Source organism: Homo sapiens, chromosome 1, assembly GCF_000001405.40.
Source record: "Homo sapiens chromosome 1, GRCh38.p14 Primary Assembly".
Lineage (NCBI taxonomy): Eukaryota > Metazoa > Chordata > Mammalia > Primates > Hominidae > Homo > Homo sapiens.
This window is the reverse complement of record NC_000001.11, coordinates 24,213,310-24,235,987: the sequence shown is the minus strand read 5'-3', so window position 1 is coordinate 24,235,987 and position 22,678 is coordinate 24,213,310. Positions and strand designations below refer to the sequence as shown.

Below are 22,678 nucleotides of genomic sequence, written 5' to 3'. Positions count from 1 at the left end.
AGAGCCAGATGTGTTCACATCCAAAACACACTAATTGTTTCTGGAAATCATCTGGGAAGATCTTCCTACAGCTGCAGTTCTCAAAAGGTGGTCTGTGGACCCTTGGGCATCCCGAAGTGCCTTTGAATCTTTCACCTTTTACCAAAGACCCTTGGAGGGGGGCCACAAGATCAAAACCATTATAATCATCCTGAGATGATGTCTTTATCACTCTCATTCACTCACAAATATTTAATGGAGTTTTCCGGGAGCTCTGTGACATGTGACATTGCAACAGATTGAATGCAGAAGTAGATACAATAATCCTGCGTGGTGGCTCACACCTGTAATCCCAGCACTTTGGGAGGCTGAGGCAGGCAGATCACTGGAAGCCAGGAGCTCGATACCAGCCTGGCCAACATGGCGAAACCCCATCTCTACTAAAAATAGAAAAAAATTAGCCAGAGATCGTGGCACATGCCTATAATCCCAGCAATGCAGGAAGCTGAGGCATGAGAATGGCTTGAACCCGGGAGGCAGAGGTTGCAGTGAGCCGAGATTGTGCCACTGCACTCCAGCCTGGGTGACAGAGTGAGACTCTGGTTAAAAAAAAAGAAAAAAAGAAAAAAGAAAAAAAAAGAATCCAGCTGTCTCCTGTGAAGCCAATCATTAAAGAGACCTGCAAAAATACAAAACGATGCCACTCCTTTAATTGGTTTTAATTTGGAAAATTGTGTCATTTCTTATAAAACTATGTTTTGTGTTAACATGTGATGAATTTATTATCCTCGCTTTAAATCAGTTTCTCAACCTTGGCACTATTGACATTTGGGCCAGATAATTCTGTTTATTGGGGGGTGCATCTGTGTATGGTAGGATGCATCTCGGATGCTGAGCAGCATCTCTGGCCTCACTACACACTAGACGCCGGTAGCATGCCCCATCTCCAGCTGTAACAAACAAAAATGGCTTCCAGCCTCGTCAAGTGTCCCCTGGGAGATAAAACTATCCCTGGTTGAGAACTACTACTTTAAATAAATGAATTACTACTTTCAATAAATGAACTAATTAATTAATTAAAATTTCCCAGTTTCAATTTCTAGTATGACAATTAGCAATAAATATAACAAAACTTTCAATGACTTTTATCTTCTTTTTTTTTTTTTTTTTTTGAGATAGGGTCTCACTCTGTTACCCAGGCTGGAGTGCAGTGGCCTGATCACAGTTCACAGCAGCCTCAACTTCCTGGACTCAAGCAATCCTCCCACCTCAGCCTCCTGAGTAGCTGGAGTCCCAGCTACTTGCCACCATGCCCGGCTAATTTTTTAATTTTTTATAGAGATGAGGTCTCACTATATTGCCCAGACTGATCTCAGACTCCTGGGCTCAAGTGATTCTCCCGCCTCAGCCTCCCAAATTGCTGGGATTGCAGGTGTGAGCCACTGTGCCTGGTCACTCAGTGACTTTTAAGAGTGTAAAGTGGTCCAGAGACTAAGAATTTTAGAAACCTCTGCCTTAAACCACACACAAGGCATCATGGGTTTGCAGATGAGGACAAAGGACTGGCAGCTCCGACGTTTTTCACTGGCGTGTTCCTGCAGAGGAGAGCACTCCTCACTGTATAACTGTGGGAGGTGTGAGTCAGCCTCCCACAGAGGGGATTCTTTTTGTCCTTTTAAATAACATTTCTTTTGCTTTTTCAAATAACAAAACAAAATCAGCACATAGGGTGGCAAACATACGAAAACACAAGGGGGTGAGAAAGAATCTCCAATGATTCCACCCAAGAAATAACTACACTTCACATTTTGGTGTTTTGTCTTAATAGTTAAGGAACTGAGTGACATGGTTTGGATCTGGTCCCAAATTGCATGCAAATTGTAATTCCCAGTGTTGGAGGTGGGGCCTGGTGGGAGGTGATCAATCATGGGGGTGATTTCTCATGAATGGCTTAGCACCATCCCCCACACACCCGGTCCCGTTCTCACAATAGTGAGTTATCACGAGATCTGGTTGTTTAAAAGCGTGTAGCTCCTCCCCCCTTGCTCTCTTTTTCCTGCTCTGGCCATGTGATGTGTGTGCTCCCCCTCCACTTGCCATCATGACTGTAAGTTTCCTGAGGCCTCCTCAGAAGCTGAGCAGATGCCAGCATTATGCCTCCCAGACAGCCTGGGAAACGGTGAGCCAGGGAAATCTCTTTTCTTTAAAAATTACCCAGTCTCAGGTATTTCTTTATAGCAATGCAAGAATGGTCTCATACACTGAATCTCTATCAGATTGTGGCACCAACATGGTCACACTGGGCACTGTGAGATGGCTTTCTCCCCAGCTCAGCTGGGGAAGCACCTTAGATCTTCGGAGGTGACTTAAGCTGCTCTCTGCTGCACTAGGTGAAGTGGGGTCGGGGGGTGGGGGCCTGAGGACGTGGTGAGACTCCCTGAACTGCACAAAGCCAGCTGTGTCTGCAATTCACACCTGCCCCAAGGCCTCTTTGGCCACTGGGTGGTGCCTGAAAGCTCACCATTTGCATGGCATTTCTTTAACTTGAGGCTTTACTCCCTAGTAGGCCTTCTAGGGGTATTCACAATCTCCCTGCTTGAACCACTTCTGGGTTCCCCATTACCTGCAAGTTGAAGTCCTGATGCATTTGCATAAGTGAATAGTAACAGTTTCCAATCACAGTGTGTTTCCGGTGTACCCAGCCCTCCGCTGAGTGCTTTTCCTATTATAATGTGTGTCATCACATGACCTACCATAAGGTGGGCATCACAACTTCACTTTTCAGATGAAGACAAGGCATAGGGAGGCTAAAGGACTTGTCCAAGGCAACACAGCCAATGAGTGGCAGGTTGAACCCGCTTCTGATGACACGGAAGCTTGTGTTCCTAGATGCCACACTTTACACACACACGTCCCTCACTGATCCCGTTTGCTTCTGCAGCTTCTCCCAGGAACGTCAACAGTACGGAGCTTTGGACACAATGGATTCTAGCCTTGACTTCATTTTTGTTATTTTTTTTTATTTTTGAGAGAGAGAGTCCCACTCTGTCTCCTGGGCTGGAGTGCAGTTGTACGATCTCGGTTCACTGCAACCTCCGCCTCCCAGGTTCAAGCGATTCTCGTGTTTCAGTCTCCTGAGTAACTGGGATTACAGATGTGTGCCCCATACCTGGCTAATTTTTGTATTTTTTAGTAGACATGGGGTTTTGCCATGTTGGCCAGGCTGGTCTCGAACTCCTGGCCCCAAGTGATCCTCCCATCTCTGCCTCGCAAAGTGCTGGAATTACAGGTGTGAGCCATCATGCCTGGCTTAACTTCATCTTAAAAATAACTGTAGGTCAGGTGCAGTGGCTCACACCTGTAATCCTAGCAATTTGGGAGGCTGAGGCAGTGGATCACCTGATGTCAAGAGTTCAAGACCAGCCTGGACAACATGGCAATACCCCATCTCTACTAAAAATACAAAAATTAGCCAGGCATGGTGGCATGCACCTGTAGTCCCAGCTACTCAGGAGACTGAGGCAAGAGAATCACTTGAACCCAGGAGGTGGAGATTGGAATGAGCCAGGATCACGCCACTGCACTCCAGCCTGGGTGACAGAGTAAGACTCCATCCCCCGCAAAAAAAAAAAACAAAAAACAAAAAACAAAAACTGTAACCTGGAGGAAGTCACTCAGCCTCTCTGAGCCTCAGTTGCCTCATCTGTAAAGTGGAGTGATAATGATACTGACTTCATAGGGCCATTGAGAGGACTCAGTGATGCAGGCATGCTAGGGCCTTTGCGCTGAACCTGGCCACTAGTAAATGTTCAGTAAGAGAAAAACAATCCTACAACCAAACACTCTGAGATCCTTGTGGTTCCCCAAACACCCTGAGCTCCTTGAAACCACCCTGCATTGTAGGCAGTACTCCCTCTACCTGGAATGTCTGCTCCTTCACTTTCAACTCCTATTCATCTTGCTTCATCTCTTCTTCAAAGTCTTTCTTGCCTTCTTTCCCCATGGTAGTCCCAAACCTACCTGGGCCTCAGAACCACAGGCTTCATGTGAAACCTATGTACAACCACCCTACCAGCTGAATCAGAATGTCCAGGGTGGGGCTTGGAGCCCATCCATATTGTGACATGCTTCCCTGCTGATGAGGACGCGCAGCCAGTTTACACCCTCTAGGCCTGCAGCACGCCCTCCTATGAGGATTTGTTTCCCAGGATGTTCAGCATGGCCTCCCACAGATGGTGGGGAGGACCTGGGTAGCAAGAAGGGGTCTCCTTGTTTTTGAATCTCCCATGAACTCTTAACATCTCCTGAGCACTTACTTGCTCTATGCCAGGCACTGTTCTACTGCTACGCTCATATTATCTCATTTAACCCTCAAATTACCCTAGGAAACAGGCATTGCTATCAGGGTGGGTGCTGTGGATTCACTTACTCCATTCCACCTTTGAGCACCTAGAGGGGCAGCCATGAGCACTGCCTTGCAAACTTCCTATTACAGGGAGTGGAACCGCCCAGAGTCTCAGTGGCTGTGCTTTGAAATCTATCCCCATGGGATGGTCCCATCCAAGACTGAGTATAGTAGGGATACTTAACTAACCAGACCCATTCCTTGGGGATGTGGGACTCGCTTCACGACCAGCTGTGGTTCAAGGACTCCCAGCTGGCTTTGCAGAAACTTTCCAAGTTTGCACAGTCTACAATGCCTCTACTACCCAACCCTCTCTCATCTCTTCTTCCCTTAGAGTCAAACTTGCTTTGCAATCTGAGGGCTGTCCAAGCCTTGCCTGGCTCTCTCCCTATTTTCTGCCCAGGCATTTCCCCTAGTAAAATCCTTGCATGTTTAATTCTTTCTTGTCCTTGTTCTCACAGGACCCAGACTAGGTCACCTTTTTTTTTTTTTTTTTTTTTTTTTGAGACGGAGTCTCGCTCTGTTGCCCAGGCTGGAGTGCAGTGGCGCTATCTCGGCTCACTGCAAGCTCTACCTCCTGGGTTCATGCCATTCTCCTGCCTCAGCCTCCTGAGTAGCTGGGACTACAGGTGCCCACCACCACGCCCCACTAATTTTTTGTATTTTTAGTAGAGACGGGGTTTCACTGTGTTAGCTAGGATGGTCTCCATCTCCTGACCTTGTGATCCGCCCTCCTCAGCCGCCCAAAGTGCTGGAATTACAGGCGTGAGCCACCGCGCCCAGCTTAGGTCACCTTTTATTGACAAGATTAGAAAACTAAAAACTACTTTTCCTAGATTCCGTTGTGCCTAGGATTTTGGATATGAATTAGGTTCTGCCAATTAGATGCTCTAGTGTGATTTTTGTAGGTGGAAAAGAGGAAAAGCCTCTTTCCCCTCTCTTTTTAGTTGTTTCTTCTGGCACACAAAGTTGGGGAAATACGAGATTTTTCTCCAGCAGATTCCAGTGGCTGTTATGCATGGGTGCCAACGGGCAGCTGCACGCTAGGTGCGGTGGCTCACGCCTGTAATCCCAGCACTTTGAGAGGCTGAGGTGAGCAGATAGCTTGAGTCCAGGAGTTTGAGACCAACCCGAGCAACATGGTGAGACCTTGTCTCTACAAAAAAGAGTAAATAAATAAATAACAGTTGCAGTGGTGGCTTCTAAATCTGCCTTCCCACCTCCTGACTGGCAGTTAGGGGTGTTTGTCTTGAGCAGGGCCCGAGGTAATAGCTCCCCAGAAGGTCAATTCTAAACACAGCTTCTGGAGGCCTGACCTAGAACTTGCTCCCTCAGCCCTTCGAATCATTTTGAAAGTCCCTCATTCCATGTGTTAAATCTTCTTGCTTACCACACCCTGAATGGCTTCTGTGTCCTGCACTGATACCAGCATGATTCTTCTCTTTTTATAGATGAGAAAACTGAGCCTTAGGTGGTTGAGAAACTTCACCATGGTGACTGGTGATCGAGTGGGAACTGGCCATAGAACCCGGCTGTCAGGCTTTGGAGCCGTGTCCCCAGCCACTGCACCACTCTCTGAAGCACCCGGCACAGGGCTCAGCATCTCTTACACTCTGGAAACTTCTGCATTAATTAGACGGGAGGAAAACATATTTCCCACTTTATAAACATATTCTACCTTGTTTTTTTTCTTTTCTTTTTTTTTTTTTGAGATGGAGTCTCGCTTGTTGCCCAGGCTGGAGTGCAATCGCGCAATCTCAGCTCACTGCAACCTCTGCCTCCTGGGTTCAAGCGATTCTCCTGCCTCAGCCTCCCGAGTAGCTGGGATTACAAGTGCCCACCACCACATCCAGCCAATTTTTTTATTTCTAATAGAGACAGGGTTTTGCCATGTTAGCCAGGCAGGCCTCGAACACCTGGCCTCAAGTGTCTGCCAGCCTCGGCCTCCCAAAGTGCTGGGATTACAGGCATGAGCCACCGCACCCGGCCTCTACCTTGTATTTTTAATAAGATCATTTTTCACCCTTCACCTCATGTCATAAGACTTCAGGAGGTTTTCACTTATGCAAAACAACCTTCCAAAATACAAATCAAATCAAATGTTGTGATGTGCTTAAGAATTACTTTAAAATAAGGCCAGGCGTGGTGGTTCACACCTGTAATCCCAGCACTTTGGGAGGCCGAGGCAGGCAGATCACAAGGTCAGGAGATCAAGACCATCCTGGCTAACATGGTGAAACCCCGTCTCTACTAAAAATACAAAAAATTAGCCGGGCGTGGTGGTGGGCGCCTGTAGTCCCAGCTACTTGGGAGGCTGAGGCAGGAGAATGGTGTGAACCCAGGAGGCGGAGGTTGCAGTGAGCCGAGATTGCACTACCGCACTCCAGCCTGGGCAACAGCAAAACTCCGTCTCAAAAAAAAAAAAAAAAATTATTTTAAAATATAGGGCAAAAATGCAAAACTCAGAAAAAATATATACTTTTTAAAACTAAGATGTTTGGTTGTTTTCTTATTCTCAAGGCAATATACATTCATCCCTCAGTATCTGTGGGGGATTGGTTGCAGGACCCCCTGAAGATACCAAAATCCACAGATGCTCAGGTTCCTCATTTGCATATAACCTAGGCACCTCCTCCTGTATTCAGGCAAACCTCATCTTATTGCATTTTGAAGATATTTTGTTTTTCGCAAATGGAAGGTTTGTGATAACTCCGTGTCAAGTCTCCTGGCATCATTTTCCCAACAGCATGATCCTACTTCATGTCTCTGTATCACATTTTGGTCATTCTTGCAATATTTCAAACTTTTTCATTATCATATCTGTTACAGTGATCTGTGATCGGTAATGTTACTATTGTAATTGCTTTGGGGTGCCACGAACCGGGCCCATATAATATGGCAAACTTAATCCATAAGTGTTGTGTGGGTTCTGATTGCTCCAGAGACTGGCTGTTCCCCATCTCTCTCCCTCTCCTCAGGCCTCCCTATTCCCTGAGACACAGCAATATTGAAATTAGGCCAATTAATAACTCTACAGTGGCCTCTAAGTGTTCAAGTGAAAGGAACAGTTGCATGTCTCTCACTCTAAACCGAAAGCTAGAAATCATTCAGCTTAGTGAGGAAGGCATGTGTTGAAGGCTGAGATAAGCCAAAAGCTAGGCGTCTTGCACCAGTGAGCCAAGTTGTGAACCCAAACGAAAAGTTTTTGAAGGAAATTAAAAGTGCTAATCCAGCGAACACACAAATTATAAGAAGGTGAAACAGCCTTATTGCTGATATGGAGAAAGTTTGAGTGGTCTAGATAGAAGATCAAACCAGCCACAGTTCCCTAAAGCCAAAGCCTAATCCAGAGCAAGACCCTAACTTGCTTCAATTCTATGAAGGCTGAGAGAGGTGAGGAAGCTGCAGAAGAAAAGTTTGACCCTAGCACAGGTTGGTTCATGAGGTTTAAGGAAAGAAGCTGTCTCCATAACATACAAGTGCAAGGCGAAGCAGCAAGTGCTGATGTAGAAGCTGCAGCAAGTTCTCCAGCAGATCTAGCTAAGGTCATTCATGAAGGTGGCTACACTCAACAACAGACTTTCAATGTAGACAAAAGTCTTCTATTGGAAGAAGATGCCATCTAAGATTTTCATAGCTAGAGAGAAGTCAATGCCTGGCTTCCAAGCTTAAAAGAACAGGCTGACTTTCTTATTAGGGACTAATGCATCTGGTGACTTTATGTTGAAGCCAGTGCTCACCCATCATTCCAAAATTTATGGGGCTCTTTAGAATTATGCTACATCTCTTCTGCCTGTGCTCTATCAATGGTACAACAAAGCCTGGATGGCAGCACATCTGTTTATAGCATGTTTGACTAAATATTTTAAGCCCATTGCTGAGACCTATTGCTCAGGAAAAAAAAAAAAAGATTCCTTTCAAAATATTACTGCTCATTGACAGTGCACCTGGTCACCGAAGAGCTCTGATGGAGAGATACCAGATTAATGTTGTTTACCTGCCTGCTAACACAACATCCATTCTATAGCTCATTGGTCAAGGAGTAATTTTGACTTTCTTTTTCTTTTTCTTTTCAGACAGAGTCTTGCTCTGTTGCCCAGGCTGGAGTGCAGTGCCGTGATCTCGGCTCACTTCAACCTCCGCCACCCAGGTTCAAGTGATTCTCCCGACTCAGCCTCCCACGTAGCTGGTATTACGGTGCCCACCACCATGCCCAGCTAATTTTTGTATTTTTAGTAAAGACAGGGTTTCAGCATCTTGGCCAGGCTGGTCTTGAACTCCTGACCTCGTGATCCACCTGTCTCAGCCTCCCAGAGTGCTGAGATTACTGGCCTGAGCCACCGTGCCCGGCCTTAATTTTGACTTTCAAGTCTTGTTATTTAAGGAATATATTTTGTAAGGCTACAGCTGTCATACATAGTGATTCCTCTCATGGACCTGGGCAAAGTAAATTGAAAACCTATTGGAAAGGAGTCATCATTTTAGATGCTATTAAGAGCATTTGTGATTCATGGGAGGAGGTCAAAATATCAACATTAACAGGTGTTTTGAAGAAATTGATTCCGATCCTTATGGATAACCTTGAGGAGTTCAAGACTTCAGTAGAGGAAGTCACTGCCGGTGTGGTCGAAACAGCAAGAGAACTAGAATTAGAAGTGGAGTCTGAAGATGTGACTGAGTTGCCGCCATCTCATAATGAAACTTGAATCGATGAGAAGTTGCTTCTTAAAAATGGGCAAAGAAAGTGGTTTCTTGAGATGGAACCTATTCCTGGTGTGAATACTGTGAACATGGTTGACATTGACAGCACAGGATTTAGAATATTCCATAAACTTGGTTGATAAAGCAGCAGCAGGGTTTAAGAAGATCGACTCCAATTTTGAAAGAAGTTCTACCGTGGATAAAATGGTAAACAGCACCGCATGCTATAGAGAAATATTTTATGATAGGAAGAGTCCATTGATGTAGCAAACTTTACTGTTGTCTTTTTTTAAGAAATTGTCACAGTCACCCCAGCCTTCAGCAACCACCACCCTGATCTGTCAGCAGCCACCAACATCAAGGCAAGACCCTCCACCAGCAAAACGATGATGACTCACTAAAAACTCAGATGATTGTTAACATTTTTTAGCCATAAAGTATTATTTAATTGAGATGGGTACATTGTTTTTTAGACATAATGCTATTACACACTTAATAGACTGCAGTATAGTGTGCACATCACTGGGAGGCCAAAAAGTTGGTGTGACTCAAGTGTATTGTGATATTCACTTCATTGCAGTGTCTCCGAGGTATGCCTGTACTTTAAATCATCTCTAGATTACTTATAATACCTTAACAATATGAATGTCGTGTAATTAGTTGCCATCGTGTATTGTTTAGGGAATAATCACAAGGAAAAAAGTCTGTACATGTTCAGTACGGATGCACCACCCATCTTTTTTCTGAATATTTTCGGCCCATAGTCTGTTGAACCCACAGATACGGCACCCAGGGATATAGAAGACTGACTTTATGTTTGTTAACAGGCAAGCACACAAACAATGAAAAAGTAGAGGCGAGTTATGCAAAATTCTATTCCCCAGGAAAAACCACTGGTAATAGTGTATGGTGGCCAGGCATGTGGCTCATGCCTGTAATCCCAGCATTTTGGGAGGCCGAGGTGGGTGGACACTTGAGGCCAGGCATTTGAGGCCTCTATTAAAAATACAAAAATTAGCCAGGTGTGGTGGCACAGACCTGTAATCCCAGCTACTCAGGAGGCTGAGGTATGAGAATCACTTGAACTGGGAGGCAGAGGTTGCTGTGAGCCGAGATGGCGCCACTGCACTCCAGCCTGGGTGACAGAGTGAGACCCCGTCTTAAAAAAAAAAAAGCTTTCCCAGTAGGCTGTTACATGTGTGTGAAGCCATCCTTATAGATAATGGTGAAATTGTTTCGAGTGCTTCCCCGATCCCTCTAGGTCAAGATCTGAACCAGCTGCTCACCCTGGGGAGGGTGGCTTCTGTAGGAATCTTCTGGCCAAAGCCCTCCGCCTCCACAGTTGTTAACAGAGTGGGGACAGCTCCAAGTCCTGTCCTTCGAGATTCCGCCTCTTTTGGGGGCTTCTCACTGATCCCTGCTGTCTTGGGGAGGGGCGCACAGAGCTCCCTTTGGTGGTCTGCTTAAAGCACAGCCTCGGAGCTCTTGCCTTCATTCCCCATAGTGCAGCTGAGCTCCTTTAAACAAGAGGTTGGCCAGGAACGGGGGCTCACACCAGTAATCCCAACCCTTTGGGAGGCTAATGTGGGAGGATCGCTTGAGCCCAGGAGTTTAAGACCAGCCTGGGCAACATAGCGAGACTCTGTCTCTACAAAAAATACAAAAAATATAGCCGGTGTGGTGGCGCGCATCTGTAGTCTTGGCTACTGGGAGGCTGAGGTGAGAGGCTCGCTCGAGCCCAGGAGATCGAGGTTGCAGTGAGCTATAATCACACCACTGTACTCCAGCCTGACTGACAGAGTTGTCTCAAAAAAATAAAAATTTTTATTATAATAAACAAGAAGTCACTAAGTCCCTGGGTGGGGGAAGGGAGATAGGAGGGAAATAAACACAGACGGCAGCACAAGACAAAGTTACCTGTGTCACCTGCCACACCCCTCAGCCTTGGTTCAGCAGCCTCAGGTTCAGCAGCCTCAGCAAGCACTCAGCTCCCTGTCTACCTCCGTGTGCAGGAGGCCACTCTCCATCCCTCAGAACATCCCCCACCAGAACACCCAAGCTCCGCCAGGCCCAGATCACAGTGAGTGAGGCCCAGAAGGATGCAGAGGCCCCTTCCTCTGCCAAAGCCCTGCCTTCCTGACTCAGGACCTGCCAGAGGATCAACTCCCTCTAGCCCCAAGGCGGGGATGGAAACAGCCTGCCATACTCCTCCTCTCGTACCCAGGCCAGATGGCCCTGCTCATCACTGAGCCCACTTACAGCCTGGGAATCCTCAACACAGGCCCCGCTGAATTCACTGGGGTCCTTGGGTTCCATTAACCCTAACTGTCCTCCTTGACTTACGGCCTCAGTAGGACAACCAGCTCAGATGGTAGTCCCATAAACCCAGATAGGAGAGGTATTATTTTTTCCCAAAATTCACCCTTTAAAGACACCAGTTGCCTAACAAAAATGGGATACCAAGGCCCCAGATATGGCCCTTCATTGCTGCTTCCACATTGTGAGAAGGAAACCTCTATGGAAATGCAGGAGAGGAGAGAGTCAGGGAGACCAAGGATATAGTTCAGGGGAATTTGTCCCCAAGTGTAAAGGTCATCCCCAATGAGCCTACGTCAGCCACTGATGGCTTCAGAACAGCCACTTATGACTTCTGTTCTGGGAGATGATCCCATTGGAGCCTCCCGGCAATCTCTGTGGAGTAACTTATGCACAACCTCCAGGGCTTCAGAGCTTGTGCTCTGTCTGGCACCTGTGGACCTGGGTATAAATCCCAGCTCAGCCACTTGCAAGCTGTGTGACCTTGGACAACTCTCACCCTCTCTGAGCCTCAGTTCCCACATTTATAACATTTTCTCAGCTGGGGCCAATTCTGTGCCAGGGGCATCTGGCAATTTTGGTTGTCATGACTGGAAGGTGGAGAATCCTACTGGCATCTGGTGGGCAGAGGTCAGGGATGCTGCTGAATTTCCTACAACACAAGGGACAGCCCCTCAAACAAGTCAACAGTGCCAAGGATTAGAAGCCATGCTCTGTATTAAGAGGATAACAGTACCCATCTCATAGGTTGATTGTAAGATTAAGTGAGAACATGTACCTAAAACATCTGGAATATATGAAGCCCTCAATAAATGAGAAATATTGCCATAGTAGAAACCCCACCAGAACATTAAAAGTGGGGCCCACAAATTCCAATTGTTTCAAATGCAATCTTGCATTAGCTTATGTACAGCCACCTGCGTAGCTAGCTGGTCTTGACTTCTAGGGACCTGGAGCCAAATTGCCAATAGCAGTTTACCAGATTTACATTATCGTGGGGTTTTCTTGAATTTTTGTTATTCCTATTTTATGGCTATGAAGCCCAACTTCCTGGTGGAATTGGTTTGTTTTTTTGTTTGTTTGTTTTGTCTTTTTGGTTGTTTTTGTTGTTGTTTTGAGACAATGTCATGCTCTGTCGCCCAGACTGGAGTACAGTGGTGCAATCATGGCTCACTGCATCCTTGACCTCCTGAGCTCAAACCATCCTCTCACCTCAGCCTCCCGAGTAGCTGCGACTACAGGCGATGCTACCACACCTGGCTAATTTTTGTATATTTTGTGGAGACAGGGTTTTGCCATGTTGCTCAGGCTGGTCTCGAACTCCTGAGCTCGAGCAGTCCTCCCACCTCAGCCTCTCAAAGTGCTGGGATTTCAGGCGTGAGCAACCGTGCCCAACCTGGAATTGTTTCTGTACAAGTACTTCTCCATCTCCCAGGATTTCTTCCTCTCCAACTTGCTTCTTCTAGTCTAAGGTGGGCTTGAAAACCTTAATGAAAGTTGTTTGTAAGCCAAGAGTAACTAGGTTACAAATGAGAGTCAGAGGGTATTTCTAGGAAAGAAGTCATAGGTATTGGCACATGAACTTTATACTTTCGTGTGTTCAGAGGTCTTTTCTGCTTGCTTCCTGGTTCACAGATGAGGCTTCCTGATACTGGGTCTGAAGACTTGAGGTATTATCACCACCTGAATAAATTCTATCTACTTTGGAATGCAGTGTATGATTTTTGTGTGTGTGTGCCTGAAAACTTCCTTAAGTTGGACTTAGAAGAATTTTTTTCAGCAAATATGTATTAGGTGACTACTCTGTTCCAGGCATAGTGAGTGCAGAGAGCCAGCCAAACCAGCATGGGATTCAGACCCGCGTATACAGCTCAGCGCGGTCAACAGTTATTCTTGTTCATTCATTCATTCACTCATTCATTCATTCATAAGAAAAGTTTAGTAAGCACCAATGTGCGCTAAGCACTGTTCAAAGCACTTCACTTAATTAAATCCTCTATCTTAAAAATTACCAAGCAAGGTAGGTCTAATTATCCCCACCTGAATTAGATGAAAAGACTGAGGGTAGGAACGGCGAAATCGCTTATTCAAGATCACACCTCCAGGAAGGGGTAGAGCTGGGCCTCAGCTGTCAACCCTGCTCCTCCCTCTTCCCACTCCCTGCCACCCCCACCCCCACCACAAGGCTTCCGACTCCCCTAAGAAAGGTTTTCTTAATTGCTCTCTAAGAACCTTGCACAGAGCACTTAGCTTTGCCTGGCTCTGAGAGCTGTGAAACGGGTATTTCATTAAGCTCTTTATAAACTTGCCTGGTTCCACCCTTGAGAGATACCTAAGTGCCAGCCTCCCATGACAGAGGGGAAACCCAGCAGTTTGGGGCCACTGGTGACGCTGGCCTGGTGCCAGCTGTCCCAGTCCCTGAGTAGAGCCAGACCTAGTCACAAGGACTGAGGGCTGGTGAAGACGGAAGGCATGGGGAGGGGTCCATGATCAATCAGGACAGAGGGGGTCTGTGAACCTGCGGTGGACAACAGTTTTGCCTCTGGGGAACACCTGTGTTCTTACCCAGTTTCGTGGGAAAAGTGTGGACTTTGGGGCCACAGACCCTATTCTGCCCGCCTTTAGCTGAGGGACCTTCTAGCTGGGATGTGCTACATAATCTCTCTGTTCCTCAGTCTCTTCACTTATAAAATGAAGATGATAAGTCCGAACAATGAAAATTAAATAAAATTGGCCAGGCACATTGGCTCATGCCTGTAATCCCAGTACTTTGGGAGGCCAAGGTGTGTGGATCACTTGAGGTCAGAATTTCAAGACCAATCTGGCCAACATGGCGAAATCCTGTCTCTACTAAAAATACAAAAATTAGCCAGGTGTGGTAGTGTGCACCTGTAATCCCAGCTACTTGGGAGGCTGAGGCACAAGAACACCTTGAACCCAGGAGGCGGAGGCTTGCAGTCAGTTGAGATTGTGCCACTGCACTCCAGCCTGGATGACAGAGCAAGACTCTGTCTTGAAAAAAAAATTAAATTAAATTAAATTATGCCCTACTGTACTTGACATACAATTTGCCAGGAATATGAAATGTGCAGCACAGCTAACTCCCCATCTCCCCTCCTGTGCTCATGGCAGACATCACTAACAGATCACAGAACCCTTCTTCACCAAAACAAACCCATCTCAGCTCCAGATGCCTGCCCAAGGGAGCGTTTCAGGCAGCCATCTCCCACAGATCAGAGTTGACATGTGTCCCAATAACCTATTACAAAGTTGTTGGTTTAAGACAGCATTTTATTATATCTTGTTATTTTGTGGGTTAGGAATTCAAGCAATTCTTTGGCTTCATGTAGCATTGACTGAGGTTACTTGGAAATACTCAACTGAGCTCATCTGAAGGGTCCACCAGCTTTTCTCACACCCCTGACAGCTCGGTGGGGGCTGTTGTGAGGCTGGGCTCACCGGGGCCCCTCTTCACTAGCAGCAAGGTGGTCAGCCTTCTCACCTGGCCGCTCAAGGCTCCAAATGACAGGAAGTGAAGCTGCAGTCTCTCAGGGTCTGAGCCAGGACCTGGCCCAGCATCACTTCTGCTGTTTTCTGTTGGTCAAAGCAGTTACAGGCCCCTTAGGTCCATGGGAGGCGTGTCGGAGAATTTGCAGCCATCTTTAATCCCTGCGGCATGAGAGATGAAGTGTGTTTGCCCCAAAACAAGCAGCAAATGCTGGGGCTCTTTGCACTTCTTCCTGGGCACCCACTGCCCCTATCTGTATTTACTCCAAGCCTTCTCTATGGGTGTGAGTAAGTGCCATGTTCAGTGGGGATACAGGAATCAGCAGGACCTGACCCTGCCCTCCAGGAGCTGACTGTGGGTCTGAGAAAATGGGCCACATTCCGTAAGGAACTGACAACAGGGCCACGGGGCTTAGCCTACAGAGAGAGACAGAGGCTTTGGTGGCTCTGGGGAGAAGGTGGGGGCAGGTGGCATCTGAGCTGCATTTCCAAGATGGTCAATACTTTACGGCTGGAGTCTTGCATTCCACTGAGCACTAATGAGGTGCCTACTGTGTGCCAGGTACAGTTTTTGGCTCCAAGGAAGCAGCAGCAGACAGGACAGAGTCCCCTGCATGAGAAGCTGACCATTCTGGCTGGGGAAGACTATGAAGAGGCAAGGAAGTGAGTAAACAGAGAGCATAGTTTCCGAGCACGATAAAGGCTGTGAAGAAAATAAAGTGAGATAAAGGAACAGAGCAACTTGCTGGGGAAGAAGGTTGTAGGTGGGGAGTCCGGGGAGGCCCCTGAGGAGGTGGTGCGGGAGCAGGGACACGAAAGGCATGAAGACCCTGGCCAGGTGATGCTGAGACCCTGTGTGCCAGGCAGGCAAACCCAAGTGCCCAGGCCATGGGGGCAGTGGTTGCAATTTTTTTTTTTTTTTTTGTGACACAGGATCCCACTCTATCACCTGTGCGGGAGTGCTGTGGCACAATCATGGCTCCCTGCAGCCTTGACCTCCCGGCCTCAAGTGATCCTCCTGCCTCATCTTTTTTATTTTTTTTAGAGACGGGGTCTCACTATGTTGCCTAGGCTGGTCTTGAACTCCTGGGCTCAAGCAATCCTCCCGCCTTAGCCTCCCAAAGTGCTTGGATTACAGGCAATTCTGTCTCAGGAACAAGGCCAGTGAGGATGATGCCCACGGGCCGGCAGAGGAAAGGTAGGCAGAGCTGGGTCAGGTAAAGACCACCATAAGGCCTGCGCATTTGATTTGAGTCACATCTGAAGAAGACCCTCTGGTTGCCTGTGGAGAGTGGATTGGAGGGGTGGGGTGGAATCAGGCTCATGCGGAGCTGCTACGCTGTCTGTGGGAGAGAGAGATTTGGGGTGAACAGCTGGATTTTGGATGGTTTTGGAGGCAGTACCAAAGCATTTGCTGATGACAGATGTGGGGTATAGAAATTAAGGAAGATAACCGGGCATGGTGGCTCATGCCTGTAATCCCAACACTTTGGGAGACCAAGGCAGGCAGGTCACTTGAGTTCAGGAGTTCAAGACCAGCCTGGGCAACATGGCAAGACCCCATCCCTACAAAAAATAAAAAAATTAGCCAGCCATGGTGGCACACACCTGTGGTCCCAGTTACTCAGGAGGCTGAAGTGAGAGGATGACCTGAACCCCAGGATGTCGAGGCTGCAGTGAGTTGTGATCGCGCCACTGCACTCCAGCCGGGGCAACAGAGTGAGACTCTGTCAAAAAAAATAAAAAAGGAAAGAAAGAAAGAAAGAGAGAGAGAGAAAGAAAGAAAGAAAGAAAGCAAGCAAGCAAGCAACAAAGAAAGAAACAAAGAAGGAAGGGGAAGGGAAGGGAAGGTAGGAAGGAAGGAAGGAAGGAAGGAAGGAAGGAAGGAAGGAAGGAAAGAGAGAGAGATGAAAGAAAAAGAAAGAAAGAAAGAGAGAAAGAAAGAAAGAAAGAAAGAAAGAAAGAAAGAAAGAAAGAAAGAAAGAAAGAAAGAAAGAAAGAAAGAAAAAAGAAATCAAGGAAGACTCCAGGGTGTGGGGCCTGGCTGAACCGGGTTGGGGAGTGGGTGCCATTTCCTGCAATGAGGAAAACTGGGGAGGAAGAATTTAGCCCAAGTCAGATTGCATTGCTGTCATTTGAATTTTAGCTTCAATTTTTCAAGCAACTATTAAAAGTGAGATACGGTACTTTGCGACAATGATCACTCGTCAGTGTCATCTGTGAGACAGGCTTTTTTATGCCCACTTTGCAACTGAGGAAGGCAAGGCTCACATAGCTCCCGTACAAGTTCCACAGCCAGCAGGAGCAGGGCCAGGTGCGACCCCAGGTGCCCCAGTCCCTTTGCAATATACTATACACCAGTGAGTGGTTCTCAACCAGGGGTCACTGTAACTGCCATCCTCTGGGGACATTTGGCAATGTCTGGAGACATTTTTGCTTGTCAATCTGGACAGATGCAGCTGGCTTTTAGTGGGTAGAAACCAGAGACGTGCTGAACATCCTACAATGAGCAGAACAGTCCCCACAATCAACTACTATCCCGCCCTGGGCTGGGCATGGATACCTGCTGTGTGCCAGGTACAGTTTTTGGCTCTGAGGGAGCAGCAGTAGACAGGACAGAGTCCCCTGCATGAGAAGCTGCCCATTCTGGTTGGGGAAGACTATGAAGAGGCAAGGAAGTGAGTACACAGAGAGCATAGTTTCTGATCACGATAAAGGCTGCGAAGAAAATAAAGTGGGATAAAGAAACAGAGCAACTTGCTGGGGGAGAAGGTCATAGGTGGGGAGGCTGGGGAGGCCCCTGAGAAGGTGGTGCCTGTGATCCCAGCATTTTGGGAGGCCCAGGCGGGTGGATCACCTGAGGTCAGGAGTTTGAGGCCAGCTTGGCCAACATGGTGAAACCCCGTCTCTACTAAAAATACAAAAACTAGCTGGGCATGGTGGCAGGCACCTGTAATCCCAGCTACTCCAGAAGCTGAGGCAGGAGAATCGCTTGAACCCGGGAGGCGGAGGTTGCAGTGAGCTGAGATGGCGCCACTGCACTCCAGCCTGGGTGACTGAGCAAGACTCTGTCTCAAAAAAAAAAAAAAAATTATCCCTCCCCAAATGTCAGGAGTGCACTGAGATTAAGAATCTTTGACACAGAGCTTCCAAGAGAGGCAAAGAACTGCAAGGTGGGGCAGGGGGATAGGACGGAATTTTGATGGCAGGGCTTAAATGAGCAAAGGCACCAGGGCCAGAAAGCCCAAATGAGTGGGAAGGAGAAATCTAGGCTGGCCATGGGAGCAAGTGTGCCTGTTGAGAATGCGCACAAGAGGCACGTGGGGGACCAGACCCCATATGGGCTGCAGGCCAGGCTGGGGAGCCGGGACTCCCCTCAGCAGGCAGCAGAAGTCCTGAGGGTCTAAGCAGAGGAGGGGAGGGCCTGGAGGGAGGGCATGCTTGCCCTTCCCATACCTGCTCTCAGAAAAACAGCTAACAAACTCCTTTACACTAGGGATAAATGACAGAAGACTGGATGGGTGACCCTTTTCTGGGCTCTCTGTATTTTAACCAGGATGAAGTCTTAAGCCAAAGAAGTGAAGCAATAATGGTGGAATTTCAGGCACCATCATGATGAATGTGGACTAAGCCTGACAGTCCCTCTCAGGCTGGACTGAGGTTGGAGGCCTGGACTGGATTTAGGGAGCCCAGGTAAGGAAGAACCACTGTTTTTCCATCAGTCAACATCCACTGTGTACTCATGCCTCTGTTCCAGGCACAGACCCTGTAGGACCCACAATCCTGGGAGGGGGGTTCTGCTAGAGAGGATCTCCCCAAGGCACTCAGGGATTGAGTGGTACGGGGTGGAGCTGGTCCTTGAACTCAGGCAGCACCCCTCTGGGATTGTGTTCTTTATCTTGTCCAAGCCCAGGGCAACCCTAAGAACTGCTATAATTTATGGAGCCCTCACTACTTGTCAGGTATTTTAAGCTTTGCACATAGCAGCTCATTCATTCCTCAGGCAAACCTATCAGGTAGAACCACTATCATCCCCATTTTACAGGGTAGCAAACTGAGGCACACAGCGGGAAGTAACTTGTCTGAGGTCACATGGCTTGTAGGTGTAGGAGGCAGCCAAGCCAGGACTCAGAGCTAGGCAGTCCCACTCGAGAGCCACCCTCTTTGCCCTCCTGAGCAGCTGTAAACCCTGGGCTTTGTGGGAGGAAAGAGGAGGACCTGCCATTCCGGGGTTTCCCAGCACAGCCGCTCCACTCTCACACTGGCAGATTAGTGCCCTGGGGATCTCAGACACCAGGGATGGGGTGGGCACTGGGGAGGGACCAAGGAAGAAAATACAGGACACATTCTTGGCTTGAGGCCAGTGCTGAAAGTTAAAGAAAGGACCAAGAAAATTCTCCTTTGGGGGCCTGGAGCTGTTTTGCAAGGTGTTGCTTTTCTCCTCGACTGTGTTTACTTTGCCAAACTGGAACGCTTTTCTGAAATCTAGCAGCCCAGGAGGCTCGGGGCTGTTTGCCAAGGAACCAGAGCCAGGGCAGGAGGGGAAAGCAGAAGGCAGGGCGCTGCATCTCCTCAGGGGCCCACCTGGCTGCCTGCTCCCGGGAGGATCTGCCTGGAGGGCTGCAGGAGTGAGAGAGAGGGAAGGAGCATCTGGCGGGGAGTCAGGAGGCGGGTGGCCTCCCTGCCCTGTTTCTACATCAATGCCTCTCAAGTGTGTGCCTCTCTGGACCTCTGCCCCAGCCGAGATTTACAGATCCGCCTGTCCACTGTACTGGGCCGCTTGAGTGTCTCATTAACAGCTCACCCATAACAAGTCCCCAATCAAAATCTGAGCCCCACCCCCTCGTACCTGCTCATCACCCCCCGCCCCCGCTCAGCCGTCCCCTCCCTCCAAGTGCTCAGATCAAAACCCCAGCAGACACCCTGGATTCCTCTTCTTTCCCTCACGCCCCACATCCTGTCCATCAGCAATTCTCATGGGTCCACCGTTTATTTGTTTATTTTAAGACAGAGTTTCGCTCTTGTTGCCCAGGCTGGAGTGCAGTGGCGAGATCTCGGCTCACTGCAACCTCCGCCTCCCAGGTTCAAGCAATTCTCCTGCCTCAGCCTCCCAAGTAGCTGGGATTACAGGCATGCGCCATCATACCTGGCTAATTTTGTATTTTTAGTAGAGATGGGGTTTCACATGTTGGTCAGGCTTGTGTAGAACTCCTGACCTTAAGTGATCCACCAGCCTTGGCCTCCCAAAGTGTCGGGATTACAGCCGTGAGCCACCGTGCCCAGCCAGGTCCACTGTTAAAATACGTCCCGCATCGAACTCATCACTTCTACCACCTCCACCAGCCTGGTCCGTGCCACCAACCACTTCTAACTTGCCATCATGTCCACCCTTGCCCCTCTACAGCCCTTCTGCACACAGCAGCCAGAGTGGTTTTTGAAGAATGCAAATCAGATTGTATGACTCCCCTGCTCAGAACTGTCCACTGGCTTCATGTTACACTAGAGGAAAAGCCACTGTTCTCACTATGACCTTGTCTTCTCTGGCCCCTGCCCTCCTCTCCTTCTGCTTCAGCCCCCACTGTTAGCCTTGTTCACTCTGCGCAAGGCACCTGGGGCTTCTGGCTGTGCCCCCTGCATTAATATTCTCCTCTCCCTAGAATGCTCTTCCTCCACAACTTCCCATGGCTCCCTCCTTCCCATCATTCATGTCTCATCTCAAATGTCAGCTCCTCAGAGAGGCCCCTTTGACCACTATGGTCAGTCACTCTGTATCCCTTTTTCCTTTAAAAAAATAATTCTCCATAACACATGTTATATTCTGAAATTACTGAGTTTATGTATTGTCTTTCCCCTGTAGAATGTCAGCTCCTTGAGATCAAGGACTGAGTGTCTCTTGTTTGCTGCTGTGTCCTCAGCACTGAGAGCAGGGACCTGCACACAGTAGGTGCTCAGCATATTTTGTTCACTAGGTGCATGAACATGCTTTGTGGGGGTCCCCATGAGCAGGCGATAGGCACTCTCTGCACCCTGGTTCTGTCGTGTGTAAGATGAAGCCCCTGAGCCTCACCTGCAAGGGGCCAACCCCCTCTAACACCTCTGTGAGTCTCTTATTGTTCAGAACCATAAAAGGCCAGATCAAAGATGTAGCAATAGAAGCAAAAGAAAAAGTGAGAGAGATGGAATTTTCTGAAGATAGTAAAGGAGGGATTCGGAGCCCCACATGAGCTCAGGTGTGAAAAGTGTCGGTGGAAGAGCTGGAATCGGGAGAACTCTGTTTGAGTCCCACGTCCTGGCCATTTACCTGCTGAATGATTTCAGATGAAGAAGTTTGCCTCTCAATGCCTCAGTTTCCCCCTCTATAAAATGGCAATGATACTCCAAGCCCTGCTTCCTTTGCAAGGTTGCAGAGAGGGTCAAACAAAAACTGATTTCATGGGTCAAAATTTAATGAACAATTAAATGATAAAAAAATTGTTTTGGAGAAATCTTTACTGAGTGTCTGGGAGCCAGACACTGCCCTGGGGTCTGGGGGTACTGTGAGGAGTGACCCTTTCCTTCAAGGAGGAGGATAATCACACAGACAAACATGTGCCCACCAATAGTGAAAGGTGTGTTGAAGGAGGGGTGGATCCCCTGAGGGACTAGTCTGAGCTGTAGGTCAGGGAGGGCTTCCCTGAGGAGGTGCCCTTTGGATTAAGAGGTGAAGGATAAGCAGAAGTCAAATAGCAAAGGGTAGGATGAGGGCTGGAAAGGGTGTTTCAGGTAGCAGATACAGCTCAGGCAAAGCCCTTGAGGTGGGAAAGAACAGAGTGCAGGAGACTCGATAACTGGCATGGCCGCAGAGGTGGAGAGGAAGCCTGCATCAGAGAAGCTGGCCAGGTTAGCAGGGGCCAGGTCCCATGGGGCCTCACAGGGCACAGGAAAGCTCCATTGTCATAAAGGCAGTGTGGCCCCCAAAGGTTTGGGTGGGGGGAAGTGGGAGGTAATGATGTAGTCAGGTTTGTATTTCAAAAAAGCAACTCTGGCTGTTGTAAGGACAGAAGATGGAGGGGAGCAAGGTGAATGTGGGAAGGCTGGTCACAGGCTACTGCACCTGTCCTAGCAAAAGTGGATGAAGCTAAAATAGGATGAAGTAGGAACTTGCACATAGCATGTTCAAGAGGGTAATTTCTGAGGGACCAATTTGCAATCTGAGGCAAAATAGCAAATGTGCAGACACTTTAGTCAAGCAATTCTGCTTCTACAACTCAATCCTACAGAAATGCTGGCACAAAAGTTCAAAGACCTCTGTACAAGATGTTCATTATATCACTGGTTATAATAGTAAAAACCAGGAACAACCTGAGTGGGCATCAATTGACTTTGCCAGAATTATGCAGGGAAATACTATGCAGCTGGTAAAAAGAATAAAACAAATCCATGTACACTAATGAGAAAAATAGACACGACACATGGCCAGGTGAGAAAACAGGTTACAGAACTACATAAATATTATTAAACCATTGATTTTTAAGTATATATCTTCCTCACGTTTCTGTATACATAAAAAGGCTGGAAGGCTGGACGCAGTGGCTCACACCTGTAATCCCAACACTTTGGGAGGCTGAGGCGGGTGGATCACTTGAAGTCAGGAGTTCAAGACCAGCCTGGCCAACATGGTGAAACTCCGTCTCTACTAAAAACACAAAAATTAGCTGGGTGTGGTGGTGGGCACCTGTAATCCCAGCTACTCAGGAAGCTGAGGCAGGAGGATTGCTTGAACCCAGGAGG

At 47.9% G+C, this 22,678-nt stretch overlaps 2 annotated features.

Moving 5' to 3' along the window:
• Positions 7,628-7,687: an enhancer, noted in NCBI's record as "active region_393". NCBI's record gives its function as "activates an Ori minimal core promoter by ATAC-STARR-seq in GM12878 lymphoblastoid cells {active_cell/tissue: GM12878}" and the evidence as "EXISTENCE:reporter gene assay evidence [ECO:0000049][PMID:35858748]".
• Positions 8,985-9,204: an enhancer, noted in NCBI's record as "active region_392". NCBI's record gives its function as "activates an Ori minimal core promoter by ATAC-STARR-seq in GM12878 lymphoblastoid cells {active_cell/tissue: GM12878}" and the evidence as "EXISTENCE:reporter gene assay evidence [ECO:0000049][PMID:35858748]".